Source organism: Homo sapiens, chromosome 14 (genome assembly GCF_000001405.40).
Source record: "Homo sapiens chromosome 14, GRCh38.p14 Primary Assembly".
NCBI lineage: Eukaryota > Metazoa > Chordata > Mammalia > Primates > Hominidae > Homo > Homo sapiens.
Window position 1 is genome coordinate 72806278 of NC_000014.9, and position 27895 is coordinate 72834172.

General features: G+C 45.5%; 1 protein-coding gene across 4 annotated transcripts in view, besides 1 other annotated feature; it reads right to left on the reverse strand.

Annotated features, from left to right (window-relative positions):
* DPF3 (double PHD fingers 3) overlaps nucleotides 1-27895 on the reverse strand; it is a 285068-nt gene that overhangs the window by 197244 nt on the left and 59929 nt on the right. The gene's annotated exons all lie outside the window — the stretch shown is intronic.
* Nucleotides 3537-4736: an enhancer, noted in NCBI's record as "MED14-independent group 3 enhancer chr14:73276522-73277721 (GRCh37/hg19 assembly coordinates)". NCBI's record gives its function as "activates an origin of replication core promoter dependent on BRD2, BRD4, P300/CBP and CDK7 cofactors, and independent of MED14, by STARR-seq in HCT116 cells {active_cell/tissue: HCT116}" and the evidence as "EXISTENCE:reporter gene assay evidence [ECO:0000049][PMID:35650434]".

A 27895-nucleotide genomic window follows, 5' to 3' on the forward strand; every position in this document is an offset into this window, starting at 1 on the left:
GTGGGTGGTCCTGCTGCTCAACCAACGTATGACAGTATTAGCCATGCGCTCCTTGAAACACTCAGAGCCTTGATTCTACTCATTCATTTAGTTCCTCCCCAAAAGTTCCCTGAGCCCCTGCTAGGCAGTGGGGATTTGGCAATAAGACCCAGTCCTTAGTCCTCTGCTCATCTCTCCACACTCCGCTCTTATGGCTCCAACTCTCACATCAGCAAAGGGCTTTCAAAGACTCAAAGCACCTCCACACTCATTACCTCTTGTAATAACAAAATTCAACTCTGCAAACTTTGCAAAACACTTTATATCGTAATCCTTTTTTCCCCACCCGCACTGGGCGAAAGAACCTATTCTTGCAACCAACACTATCCTGAAAATGTGGAAAACCTCTAATGGAAGTGCAACCAAGTGCTCCTGGAATTCGACATGCTTTTTTATGTCCTTCCCACCCCTAGTTCTCCCCTCCCTGCCCACTCTCCCTTCGCACTTCGCTTGCCTACCTTACAGCAGAGTTCATTTTGTCGGTCTCTTCTAAGTGGTGGGCTCCTGGAGGGCTTCCAACGGACTGATCTCTTTGTAGACTCCATATTACTCGGTGCTTAAATATTTGTTGAAATGCAGCAAGATCAGGGAGTAATTCAGCACCAATTGTTTACCTGATCCTGGAAACCTCATCTCTGCCCCCTCCATTCCCCAGGAGAGTCTGCCCATTTGAAAACTGTTCCTGGGTTTATTTCTAGCATGGCCCTGGAGAGGGCTGCCCTACCCCGCAGGGTCAGGGAGGTGAGTTTTCTCTCACCTTGGGTACTGCAGAGCCCACCACCAGTCCACCCTGAAACCTCAAAGCAGGCCCACAGGGTAGATATCTAGGGACCTTGAAGCAAACATTTCACCTATTCAGGACACAAACTAAATAAGCTTGTGTCGCTTAGTAATTCTGTAATGTCTTACTTATGCCCTTGGGCAAACTCCTTAAAATATTTGTTTCTGTTTTCCCATCAATAAAATGAGAATTGAAGCACCTATTTCTTAGGATTATTGTGAAGATTTGATGAATTAACACTAGGAAATGTGCCTAGCACTGTTTAATATGTGGCAGAGGCTCAATAAATACATTATTATTATTATTACTATTATTGACAGGTTAAAGGCCTGTGATGATACTGACTCCAGCATAACTCTGATACTGCCCCTTTGACTCGGCTAGTTTTGACAGAGGGCCCTTTGACAACACCTAAAAAACAAACCACTAAACTTTCAGTTTTTAAAAAAATACCAGGTAAGCTGGGTACAGTTGGCTCACGCCTGTAATCCCAGAACTTGGGGAGGCCAAGGCTAGAGGATGATAGGAGGATCTCTTGAGGCCAGTTTTTAACAACCAACTCTCCAGTGAACTAATCCATTCCTGCCAGAACAAATCCAGTCTTACAAGAGTATGAATATTAGAGCTACAAGGTACCGCCAAGAGACAGGGTTTTGCTTTGTTGACCAAGACCAGCCTGGTCAACATAGGAAGACCCCATCTCTACAACAAATTTAAAAATTAGCCAGGCTTGGTGGCACATACATAGTCCTAGCTACTCAGGAGGCTGAGGCAGGAAGATCACTTGAGCCCTGGAGTTGGAGGCTGCAGTGAGTTATGATCACGCCACTGCATTCCAGCCTGGGCGACAGAGCAAGAACCTGTCTCTAAAACAACAACAACAACAACAACAAGTAATGTGAGAAACAAATGCCCTCCCTCCCTCCCTGAGGGTCACCCCCAGCCTGACCTGATGGATGGGAAAAGATAAGCTCAGAGATGGGGTAAGGATAAGGTGGGAGTTAGGAATGGGGTAGAGGTCAGGGATGGACTGAGAACTAGGAAAGGGAAGGATCAAAGATGGACTGGAGGTCTGGAAGCAGGAAGAGAGAAATGGAGTAAGGGTCAGGGCTGGAGACCAGCAGAACCGAGGTGAAATGTAGGACCATCTGATGGATGGTCACATTAATAACTTTAATTTTTCACCACCAGCTCCCACTACAGCATCCAAACATCCTGCTCTGAAGGAGTGGGAGCAGGGACAGGGAAGAAGAAGAAACCTTAACTGAGTGAACATTTTAAAACAAGCAGGACATTTCGAACTCAAATAGTAAGAGTCACTTTGCTGTCCAAATCCCACCAGTCCTTGGTGTAATACTACAAGTGGGACTTACAAGCAGGACCCGCAAGAAGGTTCTAGTAACTACCTCAGCTTGCAGGACGTAAAATGCCTGGCGAACTTTGCATTCCAAGGACAGGAGTCTTCCAAATTAAAATTTTAATAGTGTGTGAAAATAGTTCGCCATTTACTCTTAGGATGAGGTAGTGTTTAGAAAGTCAGCCTGGAAATCCAGGCCAACATTTTCAGGGATGCCTCCTATTCTGGGAGGAGAAAAACCAGCTTGTTGCTTCCCTCCAGTAGCACAAAGCAGCAGGGAACCGGAAAGAGAGAGGGGTCTGAACAGCTTCTTCTACCAGGAAACCAGCCAAAGGTCTCCGGGCATGTAAGGACATCTGTTTTCAGAAGCTATGGTTTGGATTTTGGCATTCTTAGGAGTCTAGGAGCAATCCTACTAATTTGGGTTCTAGCTCCAACCATACTACCTACCTGCTGTGCGAACCCAGGCAAGTGATTTTACCTCTCTGAGCCTCTGTTTGCTCATCTGGCCCTCTAGACAAGATTAACTTGGCAGTGCCTTGTAGCTCTAATATTCATACTCTCATAAGACTGGATTTGTTCTCACAGGAATGAATTAGTTCCCTGGAGAGTTGGTTGTTAAAACACCAGGGCCCCCTTGGGTTTCCCCATCTTCACACGTGTCTACTTTCCCTTTGACCTTCCCTGCCATGTTGTGATGCAGAAGGAAAGCCCTCGCCAGAGGACAGGGCCATGCCCTTGAACTTCTCAGCCTGCAGAACCATAAGCTAAATAAATCTCTTTTCTTTATAAATGATCCAGTTCCTGGTATTCCATTACAGCAACACAGACAGACACTCCCACATCATCGTCACACAGGGCTTGGGCTGCCTGGCCCTGGCCACTGCCTGCCAACACCAGGCCTGGTCCCTCCATCATCTAGGACCTTGGGGAACATGGCACCGGTGAAGGGCATGGGGGTTACCAGAAAGAGTGAGAAGTCGGCAGGTCAGCACGGCCACACAAGCCACCCTCTCCCAACTTATGTGCAGGCATGATGGCTCCCCATCCACCAGCACTCCTGAGGCCACTACACCAGGGAGGAAAGAAGTGCATGGGGAGGCCTGGTCACACCTGCCCTTCCTTTCAGAACCCTGCATGTGGCTGATGGCAGGTCCTCGGCGCCTGGTGGAAGAGAAAGGGAAGGTGGCACTGGGCTCCACAGGCAGTGATTCTCAGCCCTGCTTGTCACTGGGAGCTGGTTCCTGGGTCCCACCCCAATCTCTTATGATTCCATAGATCAGGAGGAGACCCAAGAACCCAACTTTTCACTTAGCTCTCCAGGGAATACCAATGCAAACGGCCACTGACCACCCCTTGAGCGCCCTGTGGATGAGAGGGTGGAACTAGAGGTTCTAGAAGCAAGTGCTTGAGTCCCCTCACTAGCTGAATGACTCTGGGCAGTTTACATCTCCTTTCAAACCCTCAACTGCCCATCTGAGAAATGGGGATATAAAAGCGTCTGCTTCTTGGGGTTATTTAGAGAAATACATGAGAAAAAGGATGGAAAGCACTTAGCACTGTGCCTGTACATGTTGAGAATCTATAAGAGAAGATCCCCTCTTACTATTCAGGGGTGACTTGTACAAATGCCTTCTTCCATAGCAATCCCTTACTAAACTGGAGCATTTCATAGGGAAGATGCGAATAAGGGCAATGAAGCCTCAGATACAGAGGGCAGCGGAGTGCTGAGACACCTCCGTGCCCTCCCACAACATCCCAGTGCTGTGGTCCAGCAACATACCCGCCCCATCCCTCCAACTCAGAACATGCTCATTGATGTGCCTGAACCCAGGCTAAATGGGAGCACACCTATAGTGGGGGTTCCCCTGTCAGAGATATGCACTGCAAGGGCCTGCGGTCCAGGACACAGAGGAAGGAAGAGACGGGCGGAGAATGTGAATCACATTCATGCCAGGGTGTGTTCTAATACGTCAGCAAATGTGTACCGAGCTTCCGGGCTGCAGAGGAAGGTGGGCGTGTGTGGGGTTAGTGACTTGAAGGGAAAGAGGGGCATGAAAAAGAAGGGGGTGAAGAGTTAGAACTGGTGCAGCAGCTGGGTCTCACACACAAATGGCATGACTCTACTTCACAGGAACTACTCAGAAAGGGAAAAGAATAACTCTAAGAAACAAAGATCTGCCTCCAAATCCAAGAATGGCAGTAGAAAATAGGGTCCCCCACCCAGCAAGCACCCACATCACGTTTCATCAGAAGAACTCTCTATTCTCAGCCAGGCCTGGCACACTGCCTTGACCTTCCCGATCCTGGAGCTGGGCCCTGGGCTCAGAAGACCCCAGACTGTCATTGCTGGAAACAGAATCATTGCAGATATAGTTAGTCAAGATGAAGTCACACTGGAATAGAGTGAGCCCTAATCTTACAGGACTAGTGAGTTAGTCCATTTGTATTACTATAAAGGAATGCCTAAGACTTGGTAATTTGTAAAGAAAAGAGGTATATTTCACAGTTCTGCAGGCTGTAGAGCAACCACGGTGCCGGCATCTGCTTCTGGTGAGGCTTCAGGAAGCTACAATCATGGCGGAAGGTGAAAAGGAGAGCAGGCGTGTCACATGGTGAGAGCAAGACCAAGGCAGCAAGGGTGGGAAGTCCCAGACTTTCAAACAACCAGATCTTGTGTGAACTAACTGGGTGAGACTTCACTCATCACCAAGTGGACGGTGCTAAGCCATTCGTGAGAGATCCACCCTCATGGTCTAATAATCTCCCACCAGGCCTCACCTCCAACATTGGGAATCACATTTCAGCATGAGCTTTGCAGGGGACAAACATTCAAATCATATCAATTAGTGTCCTTATAAAAAAGGGAAGTTTGCCCCATGAAGGAAGAGATTGGGGTGATGTGCCTACAAAGCAAGGAATGCCAAAGATAAGACTGCCAGCCAAGCCCCAGAAGCCAGCAGAGAGGCCTGGAACAGATTCTTCCTCACAGCCCTCAGAAGGAACCAACCTTGCCAACACCTTGATCTTGGACTTTTAGCCTCCAGACTATGATAAAATAAATTTCTGTGAAGTTACCCAGTCTGTGGCACTTACAGCCACCCTAACAAACTAATACACCCAGAACCTTACTATCCTTCACCACACCGATCACCAATGAGGCAAGTCAGAAATTTCCAAAAAGTCTCCACATTTATTTTTCTACCCAATAAACCAGACATGATAGAGGAATTCAAATATAAACAAGACATAGGCCCTGCCTTCCAGAGCTCCTAGGCACACAAATGTTAGTCACTTTACACTTTGCAAAACACTTTCACATATATTGTCTCTTGTAGATCCCCCCATCTCACATTGAGATGGGAAGGGCAAGCTGTAGGTTACTCCCATTCTGCAGATGAGAACACTGAGTTTTGGAGAGTTGGTGGCTTGCTCCAGGGCACCCAGCCCTGGAGCGGCAGAGAGGGAGCTGCAGTAAAGTCTTGAGTCCAAGACAACATTGGTGTGGCTGTTTTCTTTCAGCCTGTCTTGCTGCCTCTCCTGCCGTCTTGGAACCTCTTGCCTCCTTCAAACAGAAGCCCCTGCACTGAGGTCTCTTGTATCTAAGATCTGCCCCAAGTGAGCTCCAGGAGGCAAGGAGGGAGGCCAGCCATGTTAAAGACCAAGTTAAAGACCAAAGTGGCTGCAGCACCATGAGATACCAGTGTAGTCCCCCACCTTCTCTCATAGTCCCTTACCCTGAGGCTGCTCCCACCAGCCCCGCTTACCTTTTTCCCATCCCCACCCCCGGCCCCCAGCCTCTCCCATCCCACAGGCAGGGCAGGTTCCTGGTAACAGCATTGCCCAGTGTTGTCAAAATAGCGAGGAGCTGGAAAGAATTCCAGAATGAAATCTATGTGCCTCTGCAGCCTCCCAACTGACTGCCACTGTGGCAGCTAAACCCGCTAATGTGCTAAGCGTTTTCTGGCAGGGCCAGGAGGCAGGGTTGGTATTTTGGGAGCTGGGAGGGGCTTGGAGGCAACATCCTCGGCAAGTCTGGGAAGGAGGTGGAGGCAGGGAGGCAAAGGGAACCGACCCAGAACACTTCCCATGACGTCACCGAGAGCCACCTGAGCTGCACCTCAGGATTCCTGAAACACTGCTGGCGGAGCGGAGAGTACGGAGAGTACGCTGGGCCCGGTGGGCAGGGCTCAGCAGGGCATGGAGGCTTTGTAGCTAGGCCTGGGGGGAGAGGGCGCTCTAGTATGCCACTTGTCATGTACACTTTTTCTGCTGACACAGAGCAGTGTGCAATGCGTCCGGGAGGCTGGGCAGCCCAGGGCTGGCCCAAGCTCTGTTTGCCTGAGTTGGCAGTGGCAGGGCCCATGGTGACCAAACAAAAGACGGGAAGCCAAACGCCCAGAGGCTGGCGGGTGAGGCTCCCTGAGAGGGCTCTGAGGATACAGGCACTGGCGAAGAAGGGCCAGGGGCTCATAGGGATAGGAATGGGGTTGGGGGCAATGGGAACTTGCAGGCAGGGTCCCCTCTGGTTTCCCAGACACACCGCATCGCCTCTGGGCATCAGCCTCTCCACACTGTCCTTGCTTTTCGGGGGCTCCTTCGAAAATGCTTCAAACCATGACACCAGGAAGGGGAGCAAACCACCAAATCTGAGATCCAAACAAGGTCCCAGCATTCCTTTGTCCCTGATGGGCTTGGCTCCAAATTCTGGGAGAAACCAGAGGGTTTTGAGAGAGTCAGGAGAGGGGTTCAGGGGACAAAAAATAGGGCTGGTGAAGAATTCCTTCCGGGAGCCGTCTGGTAGCAGGGAGTACCGTGGGTGGCAAGGCCGTGCTGCTCAGGTGAGGGGACATGGTGTCATTCTGGGAACAGATGAGCCAGTAAAACCCTGACAGGATTCAATCTGGAGGAAAAAAATCCCAGCTGATAGGAACTGCTGAGCGCTTGCAGCTTTTAAAGCCCCTCTAGCAAAAGGATCTGCAAAAGCTTTGCAAACTCTGACCACGCAGCCAGTCAGCCACTTCCCAGCCCACAGCAACGAGAGAGTTTTTGCTACATCAGAACAAACCCACTCACAAATATCTCATCCTGGCCTCCCCCCCGGCACCCATTCCTTTTGGGTCTGTGTGCCTGCCTTCCTCAGAAATGACATTTTGTCAGAGCAGTGAGAGATAGTGTTGCAGGGGCCAAAGGCAGCCAGGGGGCTGGACTGCAACTAGGCTCCCCTGCTCACTAGCGGCTGACCCCAGGCAGGGCACTTAACCTTTATGAATCTCATTTTTTAATCTGCAAAAATGCAAATAATGAAGCTGCTCTTACAGAGTTGGTGAGAGGACTAAATGAGATGATGGATGCTGGGGCTCGAGCACAGAGATGAGGGGCTCCATGACGGCTGGTCCCCCTCCTTCCCACCTTCCTCTCCAGGGCCCTCCGGCACCATAATCAGTGTGGGAAGGATGCAGAACAATGGGAGTTTAATTCAGAGGTTGGCGAGGCAAAGGCATACTTTAATAGAATTCTCTCTCGCCCAGTACATGGTTTCTTGTCCACCCCACCCACCTTTCCCCATCTCTACCGGCTGATAGTCTCTCAGCTAGTAGACCTTTTCTTGTTTAGCAGGGCCACTTTTTTTAAAAACTCCAGACGGGTACCCTCCATGTTGCAGGCGACGTGGCCCTGGATCACTCAACTGACTGTCATTTGAATGGTGCCCCCAGAGTGAGGCAATGGTGCAGCCCTCCTAAGGCCCTTCCTGAGTGTCCCTCCTTCATGAAGATGATTCTGAGGCTTCCCAGGCCTTCACCCTTCTTTGAAAGCCCATAGCAGTTCATATGCACTTCTCTTCTATGCTCACCAAACTCTGCCTTCATCATACTTGGGGGATGTGTGTGAGAGCGAGAGAGAGAGTCCAGCAGGGATTAGATCTGACTTTTATATTCTCTACAGTGCCTGGCACAATGCTAACACATTTGATGAGGCCAGAATTACCCTGATACCAAAACCAGTTAAAGACATTACCAAAAAGAACTTTTTCAATATTTTAATTCTTACCTCATACCCTAGATAAAAATTAACTTGAGCGGGGTGTGGTTGCTGACACCTGTAATCCCAGCACTTTGGGAGGCTGAAGCAGACGGATCTCTTGAGACCAGGAGTTTGAGACCAGCCTGGCCAACAAGGTGAAACCCCGTCTCTACTAAAAATATAAAAATTAGCTGGTCATGATGGCAGGTGCCTGTAAGCCCAGCTACTTGGGAGGCTGAGGAGAACTGCTTAACCGGGAAGGCAGATGTTGCAGTGAGCCGAGATCGCGCCACTGCACTCCAGCCTAGGCGACAGAGCGAGACTCCGTCTCCAAAAAAAAAAAAAAATTAACTCGACATGGATCGTAGAGCTAAATGGAAGACTAAAACTTTCAAACTTCAGAAAGAAAACTTGGAAGAAACTTTTTCTAACCTTGGGTTAAGCAAAAATTTTCTTAAATAGGACATAAAATGCATGAGTCGTAAAGGAAAAAAATTGATACATTGGACTTCACCAACATTTTAAATGTCTACTCTTTGAAAGGCACTAATATGAAAATGAAAACACAAGCTACAGACTGAGAGAAAATATTTGCAAAACATATATCTGATAAAGGATGTTTAGTCAGAATATATAAAGAACTCCTAAAACTCAATAAGAAGACAAATGACTCCATTTCTTTTAAGGTCAAAGAACTGAACAGACATTTCACAAAAGAAAAGATACAGATGGCCAAAAAGCACATCAAAAAAAAAAGGTTCAACATTATTAGTTAGCAGGGAAATGCAATTAAAATCACAATGAGATACCGTTAAACATCTATTATAATGGCTAAAATTTAAAAGGCTGACAATGCCAAGCTCTGGCAAGGATATAGAATAACTACGACTCTTACACACTGCGTGTGGGAATGCTAACTGGTACAGCCACTTTGGAAAGCAGTTTGGCAATTTCTTTTAAAGTTAAATATACAATTATATTTTCATTTCTCCCAGAGATTTGCTCAAAAGAAATAAAAACATATGTCTACACAAAGACCTATAAATAGGAATATTCATAGCAGCTTTCTGCATAATGGCCAAAACTTGGGAACACCCAAGTGCTCATCAGTTGGTAAATGAATAAGCAAGTTGCCATGCAGCCACACAGTGGAACGCACCCATACATGCAGTAACATGGATAAGTCTTAAACGCATGGTATCAGTTCCTATTGCTACTCTAACAAATTACTACAAACTCAGTAGCTTAAAACAACACAGATTTACTGTCTTACAGTTCTGGAGGTCAGAACGTCCGAAATCAGTCTCACTGGGCCAGCATCAAGGTCAGTTTCCTTATCTTTTTCAGCTCCTAGAAGCCACCTGCATTCCTTGACCCATGGCCCCTTCCTCCAAAGCCAGTTGTGTTGCATCTTCTATCTAACTGCTTAAGGGAACAGGACTTTATCAAGGCACAGAGCCACAGCAAGTATGGGAAACATATAAGTAGTTCCATATTTCCAGGGTGTGTAATGTAACATTTCGAAGATAAGGAAACTGAGATTCAGAGAGATCCAATATCTTACCCAAGGTCCAGGACACAGTGAAAATCATGTTCAACCCTAAGGCCTCTGAATCCAAATCCAGAGTCCACGTGAGCCCTCAGACTTCCCTGCCTTGACCGTGGATAGTCATCTCCACCTTGTCTCAGAGCCCTGCACTCCCACCCTTGTACACTGCACCAGCAGCTAAGCCTGTGGAGCCAGGCAGAACCCTGGGCCTCCCCACCTCCCCACCCTGGGACCAACAGATTCCCAGCTCCAGCAGGATAACATCATAACCTTAATAAGATTGACATTTGCATCCTGTTTTATATTCATCAGCATTCTTACACTTACGTTATGTTATCTGGCCTTCTCCATCGTATGAGTCTAATGGTGCAGATATTCTCCACCCCACATTCTCCAACCCTCAGAAAGCTGAGGTACTTTCTTATACAGCAAGTGGGTAGAAGCCAAGATCAGAACCTTACCCCCAACCCACCCCTTGATACCAGAAGAGCCTATTGACTCAGAACAAAACTCAGGCAAACCCCCCACCTAGCTGAGCTTCCCCTCCTTCATCTGCAGGATGGAAAACAGGGTAATACCTGCCCTGCCTATCCTGATACATCAGGCATAAATGGAAAAAAAAAAAAGGAAGTAGTATGTAAAAGCACTTTGGAAATGTTAAAATGCTATGCAAATTATAAGGAACTGTTCTGATTATACTCTCAAGAAATGTCACAAATTTTCTCCAAAAGTGAATAATTGTCATTACTTTTCAACTTCATCCCCTTGAAAAGCCAGTTTCTCCTCCTGTCATCTTTTATTTCTGGTTAAAGCAGAGATGTTATACTCAACATTCCAACTGGAATATCAAGATCAATCTTTAATTCCTCCTTCCAGCTTCACCCTTTCTGAAATCAAGAACAGGCAATTCTCTACTCCACCCACCATCTCATCCTCAGTTTCTCTTGCCATCTGCCCCCCTCTGAAGCTAGAAATCACCAGCAACCATTTTCATTCCTCATCCCTCCGGTCTCTCCTCAGTCAGAGCCAACCTACATGATGCAAAAGCACCACTCCAATCACCTCTCTCAGAGGCTCACAGCCCCGGGGGGACAGCGTCCAGGGGTCCTCCACGGGCTGCCCCAGTGAAGCTCTCCAGCTTGTCTCCCATGACTCACCAACCCAGGTAAGCCTAAATGGCCCTGTTTCCCAAAACTCAACTCTCTTCCCACTTTTATGTCCCCACTATATCTGGAACTCCCTTTCCCACTATTTAATTAGCTATGGGGGTAGGAAGAATCAAACTAGACCCCCAGCTCTTACATCAACCTAAATATATTCCAAGTGAATCAAAGAATTGTGGTTAATGGCTGGGCACGGTGGCTCACACCTGTAATCCCAGCACTTTAAGAGGCCAAGGTGGGTGGATCACCTGAGGTCAGAGGTTCGAGACCAGCCTGGCTGGGTAACATGGCAAAACCCCGTCTCAACTAAAAAATAATAATAATAATACAAAAATTAGCCAGGCATGGTGGCGCAAGCCGGTAGTCCCAGCTACTTAGGAGGCCAAGGCAGGAGAATTGCTTGAACCCACCCAGCAGATGGATGTTTCAGTGAGCCAAGATTGCACCATTGCACTCCAGCCTGGGCAACAGAGCAAGACACCACCTCACAACAAAAACCACACACACACAAAGAATTGAGGTTAAAAAAAATCCAGATTATATAGATGAATATCTATCTGATAGCTGAATGGGGCTGGAATTTCTAGGCTACATAGCAATGGAGTAAATCAGAGGAGAATAAAATGAATAATAGTTAACATTTACCTATTTTCACTTCTTTTAACTGGATATCCATATTTTAAAAGTAAACATACCCTTTACTTCATGTTGTACACAAAAAATAACAAAATGGATCACAGAATGAAAGAAATGCTAAAATTAGAAAAATTCCAGAAGAAGGCCAAGCACGGTGGCCTGTAATCCCAGCACTTTGGGAGGCCAAGGTGGGCAGATCACTTGAGGTCACGGGTTTGAAACCAGCCTGGCCAACATGGTGAAACCCCTATTAAAAATACAAAAATTAGCTGGGCATGGTGGTACACACATGTAATCCCAGCTATTCAAATGGCTGAGGCACAAGAATCCCTTGAACCCAGGAGTCAGAAGTTGCAGTGAGCAGTGATCGAGCCACTGCACTCCAGCTTGGGCAACAGAGCGAGACTCTGCCTCAAAAAAAAAAACAAACTTCCAGAAGAAAACATGGGGAAAATCTTCATAACCTTGGTGTAGGCAAAGATTCTTAGGACACAGAAAATAAGAATCACAAAAGGGAAAAATAACCTGGACTTCAAAATTAAAAATTTCTGCTCTTCAAAAGACATTGTTATGCTGGGTGTGGTGGCTCATACCTGTAATCCCAGCACACTGGGAGACCAAGACGGGAGGATCATTTGAGACCAGGAATTCCAGACCAGCCTGGGAAACACAGAAAGACCCTATCTCTACAAAGAAGTTTATTAACCAGGTGTGGTGGCTCATGCCTGCCGTCCCAGCTACATCGCAGGCTGAGGCGAGAGGACTGCTTGAGCCCACGAGTTCGAGGTTACAGTAAGCTTTGATCATGCCATTGCACTCCAGTGTGGGCAACAAAGACCTTGTCTCTAAAAAGATAAAAATTTAAAAATTAAAAAGACATTGTTTAAGATAGGAGATATGGTTGTACAACAATGGGAGTATAATTCACACCACTAAATACTCAACATGATTCCAATGGCATCTTTTATGTTACGTATATTTTACTACAATTTTTTTAAAAGATGTTGTTAAGAGGATGAATAGACAAGCCACAGATTGGGAGAAATGATTCATAGTACATATATGTACATAGTATAGTCATACAGTATATAGATACATGTATACACAGTACATATATAGCACATACATGTACATACATACATATATGACAAAGGATCTATATCCAGAATATATAAAGAACTCTAGCAATTTAGTAATAAGGCAAACAACACAACAAAAGATTTGAACAGACCCTGCACAAAAGAAGATAGCCAATAAGCACGTGAAAATATGCTCAGCATCATCAGTCATTAGGGAAATGCCCACTAAAACTACAGTAAGCTACCGTTCACACCCATTAAAATGGCTAAAATTCAAAAGACTGGTAATGTCACCTGCTGGTGAGAATATATAGCAACCAAAAGCACAGCCACTGCTGACGGGAATATGCAATGGTGCAACCACTTTAGAAAATAGTATGGTAGCTGCTTATTCTAAAAACATGCATTTACCATATGATTGAGAAGTTTCACTACTAAGTATTTATCCAAAAGAAATGGGGGAAAATGGTATGTCAAAAAAGAGACATACACAGATGCTCGTGGCAACTTTATTCATAATAGCCAAAAACTGGAAACAACCCAAATGTCCATCAACTGGTGAATGATTACAATATTTTGGAAAATTCATATGATGAAAAACTCAGCAAAAAAAAAGATGTTACTGCATTGGTATCAGGACTGAAAAAAATAAAAATAAAAATTAGCTGCTAATGTACACAACAATGTGGATAAGACTTTTTTTTTAAAAGGCCGAGTGAAATAAGCTAGATTCAAAAGAGTAGATAGTGGTCAGGCATGGTGGCTCACATCTATAATCCCAGCACTTTGGAAGGCCTGGGGCGAGTGGATTGCTTGAGCCCAGGAGTTCAAGACCAGCCTGGGCAACATGGGAAAACCCCATCTCTACTAAAAATACAAAAATTTAGCCAGGTGTGGTGATATGTACCTGTGGTCCCAGCTACTAGGGAGACTGAGGTGGGAGGATCACTTGAGCCCAGGAGGCAAAGGTTGCAGTGAGCTGAGATTGCACCACTACACTCCAACCTGGGCGACAAAGTGAGAACTTGTCTTATTAAAAAACAAAAGGTAGATAGTGTATGATTGTGTTTACATGAACTCTTAGAATCAGCAAAATTAATCTACAGTTACAGAGAGGGGGTGAGTACAAAGAGGCACTAAGGAACTTTTGGGGATAATAATAATATTCTATTGTGGTTACATGGGTATACACATTTGTTAAAATTCATAGAACTATATATTTTGAATGAGTACATTTTATTGAATGTAAATTATACCATAGTTTTAAAAGAACTTTTTAAAAGTCAAGATGCAAACTGGGGAAAATATTTGCCACATGTATGACAAATTAATATTCTTAATATACAAAATGTCATGCAAATTGATATAAAAAGCATTAAGACCTCAACAGGCAAATGGCCAAAAGACACAGAAAAGCCACAAAAGAGGAAATAAGAATATCTAATAAACAGGTTAAAATTAAAGCAATGAAATACTGTATTTCACAAACCAAATGAGCAAATTTCACCTATCAAATGAGTTTTTTTGTTTTTGTTTTTTGCTTTGATGATAATTTTTGTTTTGTTTTTACTTTAATGATAATACTAGTATTGTAGGACAAGATGAGCACTCTTCTGGTAAAAATATAAATTGATACATTTCTAGAACACAATTTGGAACACTATTATATAAGCTTTAGCAGGAACATTAAAGTTAAGACCCAAAACCTTAACAATTTTCAGATTATTTGACCCACTTCTAGAAACCTGTGCTAAGGAATAAACAAAGATGAATGATCAAAATTAGAGATTTACAGGCAAGAGTTTTCAGCCAGGCACTGTGGTTCACACCTATAATCCCAGCACTTTGGGAGGTCAAGCTGGGAGGATCACTTGAGGTCAGGAGTTCGAGACCAGCCTGGGCAACATGATGAAACTCCATCTCTACAAAAAATTTTAATAATTAGCCCAGGCACAGTGGCTCACTCCTGTAATCCCAGCACTTTGGGAGGCTGAGGCAGGCAGATGACTTGAGACCAGGAGTTCAAGACCAGCCTGGACAACATGATGAAACCCCATCTCTACCAAAAATACAAAAATTAGCCGAGTGTGGTGGCACATATGTTTGTAATCCCAGCTGCTTGGGAGGCTGAGGCATGAAAATCGCTTGAACCTGAGACGCAGAGGTTGCAGTGAGCTGTGATCACGCCACTGTACTCCAGCCTGGGCAACAGAGTGAAACTCTATCTCAAAAAAAAAAAAAAAAAATTAGCGGGCGTGGTGGCATGCACACTACTTGGGAGGCTGAGGTGGGAGGCAGAGCCTGGGAGGCAGAGTCTGCAGTGAGCTGAGGTCACACTACTGCACTCCAGCTTGGGCAACAGAGTAGGACTGTGTCTCAAAACAAGAAAAAACAAGTCTGGCCATGGCGGCTCAGTCCTATAATCCCAGCACTTAACAAGGTAGAGGCAGGAGGATAGCTTAAGCCCAGGAGTCCAAGACCTGCCTGGGCAACATAGCAAGACCCCATTCTCCACCAACAAAAGGGACAAAAAAGAATTTTTATTACTGACCTTGTTTCTAGCAAGAAACAATCTAGGATAAGCCACTAGGTTGAGTAAACGCTGGCATCAATATGATGAACTATCGAATATTGTCCATGGTACAAACTTAATAAATATTTCTCAAATATACTCAACGTATACACTATATAAGAACCTTAGAAAGGAGTGAGATGTGTAGATGACTTACACTTATGGGTAGAGAAACACATAAACAAATTGTTTCATTGCAGCAAATATTGGAAATCATCTAAATGTTCATCAAGAGAGGTGAAATTAGGCCGAGTGTACTTGCTCATGCCTGTAATCCCAGAGCTTTGGGAGACCAAGGCAGGAGGACTGCTTGAGGCCAGGAGTTCAAGACTAGACTGAGTAACATGGCGAGAGCTCATCTCCACTAAATTTTTTTTTTAATTAGCCAGGCACTGTCGTGTGTACCTGTAGTCCTAGCTACTCAGAAGGCTAAAGTCAGAGGATCACTTGAGCCCAGGAGTTCAAGGCTGCAGTAAGCTATGACACGCCACTGCACTCCAGCCTGGGTGACAGAGTGAGATCTTGTATTGAAAAAAAGAGGTGAAATTAAATAAATCATGGTATGTCCACACAATGAAATGCTATGCATCTGTTAAAAACAGGCCAGATCTAATCTATGTCCTAGGCTGGGCGCAGTGGCTTGTAATCCCAGCACTTTGGGAGGCCAAGGTGGGTGGATCACCTGAGATCAGGAGTTCAAGATCAGCCTGGCCAACATGGTGAAACCCCATCTCTACTAAAAAATACAAAAAAATTAGCTGGGCGTGGTAGCACATGCCTGTAATCCCAGCTACTCGGGAGGCTGAGGTGGGAGGATCACTTGAACCTGGAAGCCAGTGGAGGTTGTGGTGAGCCAAGATTGCTCCACTGCATTCCAGCCTGGGCAACAAGAGTGAAACTCCATCTCAAAAAAATAAAATAAAATAATCTATGTCCTAGATTGTTAAAAAATTTTTAAAGGTGCAGAACAGGGCACTTGGAATGCTACTATTTGAAGGGAGAAAAAAATAAAAGGACACATAAATATTTATGTTTATATAACATCACCAGAAAGATACAGAAGAAAAAACAAAACAGGTAAGTCTATACTGAAAGACTAGGGTCTGAGGATGTGAAAACAGGGGTGACAGAGACTTAGATTTACTTTTTGCTCTCAATTACTTTCTGTAGTGTTTAAATTTTTTACCATATACAGGTTTTTCTTTTTCAAAAAAACACCACCAAAAACAAAAACACAGATTTTTTTTTAGAAGGAAGGGGAGTGTTATGGATTGAGTTTCTTAGAAGGAAGGAGAGTATTATGAGTTGAGTTTTTTAGAAGGAAAGAGAGTGTTATACGTTGCATTATATCCCCTTTATATGTTGAAGTCCTAACCCCCCTACAGGTTGAACATCCCAAATTCACAAATCTGAAATGCAAAATCCTCCAAAATCCAAAACTTTTTGAGCATCAACATGACTCATGAAGATCTCACCCAATTTCCCAGAAGCCCTCGCTCCCATCGGACTAGAATCTTCTTTTGAGAGGCCTTTCCTTTTCTCATCCCTATTGCAACCAGTACAAAAAGCAAAACAGAAAGACACTAAAGCAAAACCAAAGTTTTAGTCACAAAAACCAAATGGGTTGGCGAGGGAAGGTGGTGGTTACAGGGAAGGTTTTAAGCTCACCAGGCCCTGTAGCTGAGGTTTCAAAATGGCAGCTAGCTGGACGCCATCTGGTCTAAATCTGCTCACCCAAACCTCCCTCCAGTTCTCCAAGGGATGTCCCTAATTACTAGCACAGCCAGCTGCCAACATGGAATCTAGGTCTCCCTTCTTTCAAATATTAGAGATGTGAGACCAGAAAGATTACTTCCCAATACCAGAGAAAAGGCTACGAGGGAGGAACAAGGGAGAGAAGGAGACCTTCACTGCAGCATGCAAGGACATGGCGGACGCGTCCCATCCCATATCTCAGCTATTATGCATTCCCAACTGGCTTGGCCAACATCCAGAGAGACTCCAGGCTGGTGAGTCTGTGAATGTGAAGTAGAGATAAGCAAGGCGGCGAGGGGGAGCTCGCCCACTGTTATATACGGGCTGCAGCATTGCGTGGCGAGGAGTCAGGGGAATCTTCCATTTCCAAGACATTTCTGCACTCGATCCTGCTCCCCAAGACTAAGAATTCTTTCTTGGCTTCCTCCCACTCCCTGGAATGTAACTAAGCAGTTACCTTGAGAACAAGGAAAAATTGGGGGCTAGGGAGGTGTATGAGTGTTTTAATGTGTTAAAAATCACATTTACCCTGGATACTTGTTTGCAATAAAACAGAGAGTAGGAAACTCCATTCTTACCTTCATCTATGGGACAGGCACCCAGTGGCAATCATTGTGAGAAATAGGGAGAGGCTGATCTATGCTTAGGGAGCTCAGAAAATGCTATGCTTCCTTCCAGCTGTAGGGAAGCTGAGCCACTGGGGAAGAGTGGATGCATTTGGACAAACAGGAATGGATGGAAGGCTTTCTAGGAGAGGGGACCACATGAGCAAAGCCTGAAGAAGGGGTGGTTCTTATCTAGCAATGAGGAAGTGTGAGGAGAGGCAAAGAAATATCTTCTAGAAGCTGAGGGATCAGGCACTGGAAGCTTATCTACCTTCTCCAACTCCAGGGTACCACCAAGGAGAGCAAAATCCAGAAACAAGGGGCACCTGCAAAGTGGTGGAGGAAAGAGGAGGAAAGGAATGTCTGCCCCAAGCCCAGCCCCAGGGTCAGATGCCGGGAAAAATTCCTGGGATTATTTGGTGCTGTATGAGATGGATCTGGAGCCACCCTGGCTCCAAGAGGGATGTGGGTTTGGACTGGGGCTTCCAGGACTGGTCTGGGGCAAGCTAAGGACACTTTCACGTGTCCACACTTTTGTACTTGCTGTTCACCAGTATCTCCTTTCCCCCCTTCTCCTCCCTGTTCATGGAAATCCTTAAAAATCATCTCCTCTGGGAAGTTCTCCTGATGCTCTCATTCAGAATTAACCCACCATTCTTTATGTCGCTTCAACAAGTTGCTTGTATCTCTTTTTCCATTTACGTTTTCTTTTTCTTTTTTTTTTTTTGTTTGTTTGTTTGTTTGTTTTGAGACAGAGTCTCACTCTATCGCCCAGGCTGGAGTGTAATAGCGCCATCTTGGCTCACTGCAACCTCTGCCTCCCGGGTTCAGTTCAAGCCCTGCTCCTCCTCAGTCTCCCAAGTGGCTGGGATTACAGGCACCTGCCATCACCCCTGGCTAATTTTTGTATTTTTAGTAGAGATGGGGTTTCACCATGTTGGCCAGGCTGGTCTCGAACTCCCGAGCTCAGGTGATCCGCCTACTTCAGCCTCCCAAAGTGCTGGGATTACAGGCGTGAGCTACCACGACCAGCCTACGCTTTCCTATATGCCTTTTTTTTTATTTTTTGAGATGGAGTCTCACTCTGTTGCCCAGGTTGGAGTGCAGTGGCTCAATCTTGGCTCACTGAAACCTCCACCTCCCGGATTCAAGCGATTCTCTTGCCTCAACCTCCCAAGTAGCTGAGACTACAGGCGCATGCCACCATGCCCAACTAATTTTTGTATTTTTAGTAAAGATGGGGTTTCACCATGTCGGCCAGGCTGGTCTTGAAGTCCTGACCTTAGGTGATCCACCTGTCTCAGCCTCCCAAAGTTCTGGGATTACAGGCATGGGCCACCGTGCCCAGCCTATGCCTTGTCTTATAATTAGTCTCCCTCTCTTCTAAATGTAAACTCTCAGATGTCAAGAACTAGATCTTATACATCTTTCTGACCCCATCCCCCAGCACCAGCTCTTCCCCAGAGCAGACACTCAGTAAATACTTATTGAATTGAATATACAGACCCACAAGGAGCAACCTGGTACTGGCGGACATTTTTGATTCCTGCATCCATTCATTCATTTGCTCAACAACCATGTGAGTGCCTAATACCTGCCAACCTGGCTCACACTCTCTCACAGAGCACACTCAAATTGTTTCATCAACCAGCTAAAAGTAAGTTCAGTATCAATTCAGGGCTTCTTTTCAGTTCTAGAACATAGAAAATTTCACAGGATCACCTGAACACCGCAGGGCGGGTGCAGCCTACATCCCATTGCCTGTTTCTGTCCAGATGGAAAGTCACACCCTCAAGAAGGCCCCTGGGGAAGACAGATTGTCTGGGATGTGGATGAGGGCCCCCACAGGCTCTGCCCAGCCCAGCCCAGCCCAGCCCAGCCCAGCCCACCCAGGGGAACCCTAGATACACCTATCACAGGAGATGGCAGTTAAGATAACTCTATCTACATACACAGTACCCTGTGGATACTAAGTAAGGAGCTGGTCATTTGGAATGAGGCAGGAGAGCTCTAGGAAGTCCTCTCTGCAGAGTAGATGTGGCCATGGAGGTGGGAGGATTAACTGAAGGTCATAAGAAAAGTCTGCCCTTCTCAGAGATCAATAAGTGCAAATTACTTGAGAGTCCAGGAACTGCTCTGCCATGGAGGAAAAATACAGATGGGGGCAGGGGCGGGAAAGGAAGGGGGCAGGTTAGGGACAGTCATTGATCTCGGCGGGCTCTTCCAAGTCTAAAATTGTAGGATTCTAACCTGAACCTCCCCTGCCAACAACTTGAAAGAGTTGTCTTGAGATCAGGGACATGTGGAGAGAAAGTTGAATAGCATGTCAGATAATAAACCAAGAAGAAATTGTGAAGTCAAAACAAGGGATAAATTTTCCTTATCTCTCTAAGACATGCATCAAAGCAGCTGACTGCTGTCTGCCTGGCCTGGGAAGATGATAATGGTTTTTAATGGCCCGTAAACAATAGGACCAGCCTTTGTAATAAAGTTTAACCAATTAATCCTCTAGGCTTCCTCCCTGCACTCTGCCTACTCTCCGCTCCTCCTTTCTGTGATGGGGCAACCTTCAGGGGTCTGAAAAGCAAGGGATCCAGCCCCTAGACGCAAACCTATAGGTGACAATAAGAGTTGCCCAGAGGAAGTGCTAAAGAAAATTGCCTCTATCCTGATCTGGCTAAAAGGAGGAAGAAGCCCTCTTTTCAGCGAAAAGGAGAGGAGAGATGATGCATCAAGGAATTTGCACAAGAGGTAAACTTCATTCTTATTCAGGAGCTCATTCATTCATTCAGCAAACATTCATGAACACCTACTATGTGCAAGGCATCTGCAGAGGGTGCAAAAATATACAAAGAAAATACCTGCCCAAGATGGAATTAAAGCCTGGAGGGGGTGGTACTGGGAACAAGACACATTCACAGATGGCCGGGCGCGGTGGCTCACGCCTGTAGTTCCAGCACTTTGGGAGGCAGACGTGGGTGGATCACGAAGTCATGAGATCAAGACCATCCTGGCAAAGATGGTGAAACCCCGTCTCTATTAAAAATACAAAAAATTAGCTGGGCATGGTGGCGCGTGCCTGTAGTCCCAGCTACTCGGGAGGCTGAGGCAGGAGAATCGCTTGAAACTGGAAGGTGGAGGTTGCAGTGAGCCAAGATTGTGCCACTGCACTCCAGCCTGGGCAACAAGAGCGAAACTCCATCTCAAAAAAAAAAAAAAAAGACACATTCACAGATATCAATCGTAAAAGTTAGTACAATAGCCTCTGCAAACCACTGTATAAGTCCAGCTTCTTTTTCCATTTCTTCTTTCATGTGCCATGTTCCGCTTGGGGTGGTTACGACAGACAATATTCAGAAAATGGAAGAATCAGAAAGAGAAGAAAGTGGAACACACAAGAGAAAGAAAACCAAGGCCCTCCTCCCTCCTGCCATGGCCCTCTCTGTCTTCAGCCCTAGTTCTGGAAAAGAAAAGGGTGTGTTGTCACTAGAGGCCTCCAGGCAGGTCCATGCCACTGAGTCACATTTCAAGCTGTGTTTGCTTCCTACACCAACAAGGCATATCTTTTCTGAATTGTGCAATATTCTGGCCACCTGGGTTTTTCTACTTGGTATACCAACTCCTAGTACTCAACAACCATTCCCTTTACTCTTTTTTTTTTTTTTTTTTTTTTTTTTTTGAGACAGAGTCTCACTCTGCACAATCTCGGCTCACTGCAACCTCCGCCTCCCAAGTTCAAGCGATTCTCCCTGTCTCAGCCTCCCAAGTAGCTGGGACTACAGGTGCCCACCGCCATGCCCAGCTAATTTCTTTTTTACTTTTAGTAGAGACAGGGCTTCTCCATGTTGGCCAGGCTGGTCTCAAACTCCTGACCTCAGGTGATCTGCCTGCCTCAGCCTCCCAAAGTGCTGGGATTACAGGTGTGAGCCACTGCGCCTGGCCCCCCTTTACTCTTAAATACAGTGTGTGCCAGCTGTAGTAGTTTATGCCTGTACTCCGAGCATCTCAGGAGGCTGAGGCAGGAGGATCACTTGAGCCCAAGAGCTTTAGGCTGTAGTAAGCCAAGGTCACACCACTGCATTCTAGCCTGGGCAACAGAGCAAGACCCTGACTCTTAAAAAAAAATACAATGTGTAATGGTGATATAATAATTCAAAGGTTAATCATCTCTACTTTTGAAAACAATAATGAATACCTTGCTTTGCATTTGTTTAGCCTCACATTTTTTTCAGAGTTCTTCAAAAAATATTATCTCATGTTCATGCTACAAGCAACCTTGGATGGTAACAAAGGTTAAACATCATTATTTCCACTTTAAATTTTCCCTCCTTTCTCCATTTGTTTTCTACTCAACAAACAGTGGTTGAGTACCTGCTATGTGCTAAGCACCATGCTGGGTACAGGGTCATGCAACATAGCAGAAAAACAGCAGATCCTGCCTTCAACAGGTTCATAGAGCTATGGGGAGGAGAAGTGAGGACGTGGTCCCTGTCTCCAGGGTCTGGGGCATCTTCTAGAGGAGAAGATTGAGACAAGCATTAAAAGATTATCATGGGCCAGGTGTGGTGCTCACACCTATAATCTCAACACTTTGGGAGGCCAAGGCAAGAGGATCGCTTGAGCCTGGGAGGTGGAGGCTGCAGTGAGCCATGATGGTGCCACTGCACTGCAGCCTGGGCAACAAAGTGAGACCATGTCTTAAAAAAAAAAAAAAACTTAATATGATTTTACCAGGTAGAAAAGAGAGGAAAGGGGATTCCAGAGAGTGGGCCAGCAATCTATGCACAGAGAAGAGTGAGCCATCTGGGGCATCCAGACCATGGGGTGAGGAGCAATGAAGGGCAAAGGCTGAGAAAGACTGAAGAGGGAGGCTGGGCCCAAACAACGGAGCCAAGAGTGCCTTGCCAAGGAGTTTGGACTTTATCCTGGGGGCAATGAGGAAATCACTGAAGGTTTTAAGCAGAGGTGGGTGACGTGATCAGATTTGTGTTTCAGCAAGATTACCCTGGCCACGGGATGGAGAAAGCACTGGACTGGGAAGAGACTGGGCAGACTCTAGAAACATTCCCAAAATAGAATTCGCAGGACTGGGTGTCCCACTGGAGATAGGAGGAAAAGGAGATAATAGAAACAGCCTTCTCACTTGGGCTTGAGGGGCCCTCGTCCAATATAGGAGACCAGTAAGAAAGCCTTGCCCAAGGTCACCTCAAGTTACTTGATGGCTAACTCGAATCAAGAAGCTCAAGTTCCTTCTGGTAGAAACCTCTTAGTCTGCCTCATTCACATTGATCAGCAAATAAATTTAACCATCATCTGCCAGGCTTTCCTTGTTTTCCACTTTATACATGTGCACTTTTTGTCCTATGGAGATTATTAAGATCATTAGGGCAAAATTCCTTTTGACCTCCCATAAGGCCTCTCACAGTACAAGACAATATGTGGTCAATAAATATTTGTTATTAAATCAAACTCCAGGAGCCCCAAGAACCCATCACCAGGCATTGCCTTACTTACAACATGAGATATTTGCCTTCTTTAATCCCTAATAAACAGTTTTTTGTTTTTGAGACAGAGTCTTGCTCTGTTGCCCAGGCTGGAGTGCAGTGGCACGGTCTCGGCTCACTGCAACCTCTGCCTCCCAGGTTCAAGTGATTCTCCTGCCTCAGCCTCCCAAGTAGCTGGGATTACAGGTGCCCACCACCACGCCCAGCTAATTTTTTGTATTTTTAGTAGAGACAGGGTTTCACCATGTTGGCCAAGCTGGTCTCAAACTCCTGACCTTGTGATCTGCCTGCCTCAGCCTCCCAAAGTGCTGGGATTACAGACGTGAGCCACTGCATCTGGCCAACAGTATTTTTTATTTAATTCCTAGATAAAGTAATTCCTAGATGCTTGAATTTCACAATCCAAGATAATTTTTTTTTGAGACAGAGTCTCGCTCTGTCACCCAGGCTGGAGTGCAGTGGCGTGATCTCTGCTCATTGCAACCTCACCTCCCAGGTTCAAGTGATTCTCCTGCCTCAGCCTCCCAAGTAGCTGGGATTACAGGCGCCTGCTACCACACCCAGCTAACTTTTTTGTATTTTTTAGTAGAGATGGGGTTTCACCATGTTGACCAGGCTGGTTTCAAACTCCTGATCTCAAGTGATCCGCCCACCTCGGCTTCCCAAAGTGTTAGGATTACAGGCGTGAGCCACCATGCCCAGCCACAGTCCAAGATATTTCTAACAACAACAACAAAATTGGAGCGTTCAATGTGGTCTTGCCAACTTTTGTTTTAACACCATTGTTTCTTAAAAGAAAGAACATTGAATACATATCCCCAAAGTCAGGATAATATAATTTTAAGATGAATTTTCCAAATTAAATCAGAGTTCCTCAACCTCAGACCAATTAACACTGGACTGAAGAATTCTTTGCTATGGCAGTGGAGGGGAAGGAGAAGGGGGAGCTGTGGGCAAAATTGCACCAGTTCAGAACCACTGAATTTTTTAAAGTACGCTTTCTTAAAAATCCAGTTACACTGTCCTTATATTTTGGATCAGTGAAAACTATCACAGACTGCCACCAGTCCATAAACAGCTTTTGGGAACAAGAGACTCAGAGGTGAAGAATGTGGAATTTGAAATCAGACTTGAACTCAAATCCCAGTTCCACCTCTCCTCATTCCCTGACCTTGAGCAAGGCACTGTTCCAAGCCTCCCTTTCCTCCCCTGCACAGCGAGGACAATACCACCCCATCCCAGTTGTGGGGAGGATTCAATGGAATAGATGTGACGCACTTAGCATGTGACCATCGGGAACGGAAGTATGACATTATTAACATTATTTCTACCACTTCTATAACATATGTGGTATCTAATACAAATTAATGACTGCTACCCAAATTTCAGACTTTCTGGGTCAAAAGGACCTTACACATAATATAGTGGACTTTCAATAAACACTTACCAAATGGACAAATGAACCCCTTGTCACCCCGATCTCACTAGTTCCTTCCCTGAAACCCGACACATCTGAGTCCTTTTCTCCTTTACTAACCCTTTCTCCAATCCTGCTCATGGGAATTAAAGCTGTAAAATAAGCCTGGCGCACCTCGGGCCTCTGCCCTGGGCTCTGTGGGTGGGAGCACTGTGGAAGCCGTATCAATCGCCCCCACCTATGAGAGCCTTTCTTCAGGGCCAGCCATGAACGTCCCCCATGTCATCAGCATCTTCAGGCTACTGCTGTCCTTCTTGGATATTTAACCTGGAGGCGGGCCAGGGACAGAAAAAGGAGGTGGCAAGATCCTTGAACAAAAGGAGCTATAAAAGGGCGTTGGGGGAAGCAAGGCAAACGGCAGATTAAACAAGCAGGCACCTCAAGGAAACGTGACGCGGGAGGGGATTCCGAGCCTCTCTGTCTGCTTACTTGACAGCAAGCAGGTCAGAGTTCCTGCCATTTCCTTCTAGTAGAAACCCCACCAAGACCACCTCCCCGCCTTGGCAGGCAAAGCACTGGTAGCTCTCCCAAGGGAAAAAAAAAACAAAAAACACACACTCCTTGTTACAAACCAGACACAGTCCTGGACAGAGCCCAGCTAACAATAAATTTCTGGGGTTCATCTCACAAGTACATTAAGTATCTTCTGACAATCTCCCAAAGGGCTGGGTTTTTCTGGCCATCACAGGGCTGTAGAATATTGAGTACAAGGAGAGGGCTTCAAGAACAGGGGATCCAAGCCCTCGTTTCATTGATGGGGAAACTGAGGCTCAGAGAGGGGGAAGGAACTTGTTCAGGATCATCCAAGTATGCTCCCGTCAGTAGCAGCACTGAGCCAAGAACTCAAGGCTTCAGTTTTGGCACTGGGTTTTGCCAGAGGCTTGAAAACATACCAAGAAGTGGAAGGTGTACTATGAGCTAAATCTCACTTTTCCTGAAAATATAGATGTGTGCTCACACAGGCACACATGTGCATAAAAGGTAGGGAAAGAGGAAAACAAATGTAGCAAAATGCTAGTAAATGGTGAATCTAAGCAAAGGGGATATTGGTGTTCATTGCTCTATTTTCACAACTTTTCAGAAGGCTTGCCATTTTTCCAAGAAAAATCTGAGGAAGGGCTAGGTGTGGTGGCTCATGCCTGTAATCCCAGCACTTTGGGAAGCCAAGGTGGGAGGATCGCTTGAGGTCAAGAATTTGAGACCAGCCTGGGCAACATAACAAGACCCCATCTCAACAAAAAAATTAAAAATTGCCAGGCATGGTGGCTCACACCTGTAGTCCCAGCTACTCAGTAGGCTGAAGCAGGAGGATCGCTTGAGCCCAGGAGTTCGAGGCTGCAATGAGCTATGATTGCACTACTGCACTCTAGCCTGGGCAACAGAGTAAGACCATGTTTCTTTAAAAAAAATTAAAATTAAAAAATAAAAAATTTTGAGGGAGAAAGATAAAGCACTAACTAGCAATCTAAGATAAAAAATTTTTTTAAAAAAATCACTTGGAAAAGAGTAGGAATTCCTCCTTCAATTTCATTCAGTTTCCCTAGCTAGGGACTAATATCCTTAGAAAAAGTTATAAGAAATCCAGAGGTTAAAGGGGTGGGACTCCAAACAAGTAAGAGATCGCCAGTATTCATAGCAGTCCGCAGCTACAGCAATCTTAGAATCCAAATACGATTTCAGATATTTTGTCCCATCAGCTCCTAAAATACATATATTCTGGTCACACCATGTATCCTCTGTTGTTTTTGGTGCAAAAAGTAAAGTAACCATGAACTACAGATAGGGCAAATGTCAGAATTTTTCCAGGGGACTTTATCACCTTTGCAATACAGGTAGTTTATAAATGCAATACAATATAGTTTAATTTCTATTCAATTTGCAAATTCTTTCACATGAGTAAATCATTTAATCAAAATCCACATCCAACCCACACTCACCATGTTCTCTATCCATATTAGTATTTGGTTTGGGCCATACTGGGTCCATAATCCAGCCCTGAAAATCTATCCTGGGCCACATATATAACTCATACCAATAGCAGGGCACTCAAGGCATGAAGATTTGAGGGAACACAACCTATCCAAGAAACCTCAAGGAATTCCTTATGGCTGAAGTAAGGTCTGAGGAAACCATGAGCAGGGGAATATGACTTGGAGAGAAGGTAGAGGTTAAATCCAGGAGGGCTCATACACCCAACAAAGGAGTTGGAAGTTTATCCTTCAGAAAACAAGGAGTCACTGAAGGGTTTTAAGTAGGCAGTGATATAATTGGATCATTCTGGCAGAGTACAGATGGATGAAAGTAACTCAAAGCTAGGAAGACTATCGGAATGACAAAGACCTGAACTAAGGCAGTCTGAGCGGGAGTGAACTGATAACACATTAGGAAGAGCTATTGACCACAGCAAATGGACAAAACTGGGTGGGAAGAGGGCAGATGTGTCTGAGAGAGACAGAAAGGATCCCAGATGACGTCTAGCTTGGCCAACTAGGTAGACGATGACAACACTCACCCTGACGGGGAATCCGGGAGGAGGCGAAGGCTTGGCAGAGGAACGTGGTGAGTTTTGAACGTGTTGAGGTCCTGGTTGGATATACAAATATGGAGCTCCAGAAAGAAGCCCAGGATGAATATGTGCATTGGGAGTAACCAACATTAATGTACGGGGATGGATGCCAAGGGTGCAGAGGAGGTCAGCCAGAGAATTGGGGGCAAAACAAGAACTGAGTCAAGGACAGAAACTCTGGGGGAAAAAAAAAATTTAAGGGCAGTCAGGGAAGAAGAGACCCCAAAAAACGTTGAGGAGTAGCCAAAGAGGTAAAGACCTAGGCCTGCTTTTAAGTGACCCACTAAACTCCTCCATCTCCACAGGCTGGTCACACCATGCTGGGGCTGGGGAAGGAATAATCATGTGTTAAAATAAACTCATTTCTCAATGAAAAGACAAACAGCCCAATTTAAAAATGGGCAAATAACAAATAGACATTTCTCCACAGAAAACATACAAATGGCCAATAGACACATGAAAACATAGGAAGTATCATTCGGTCATTAGGGAAATGCAAATCAAAACCACAATGAGGCCGGGCATGGAAGCTCACGCCTGTAATCCCAGCACTTTGGGAGGTCGAGGCAGGTGGATCACTTGAGGCCAGGAGTTCGAAACCAGCCTGGCTAACATGGTGAAACTCCTTCTCTACTAAAAATACAAAAATTAGCCAGGTGTGCTGGTGCACGCCTGTAATCCCAGCTGCTCAAGAGGCTGAGGCACGAGAATTGAACCTGGGAGGAGAAGGTTGCCGTGAGCCGAGACTGCGCCATTGCACTCCAGCCCGAGTGACAGAGTGAGACTCT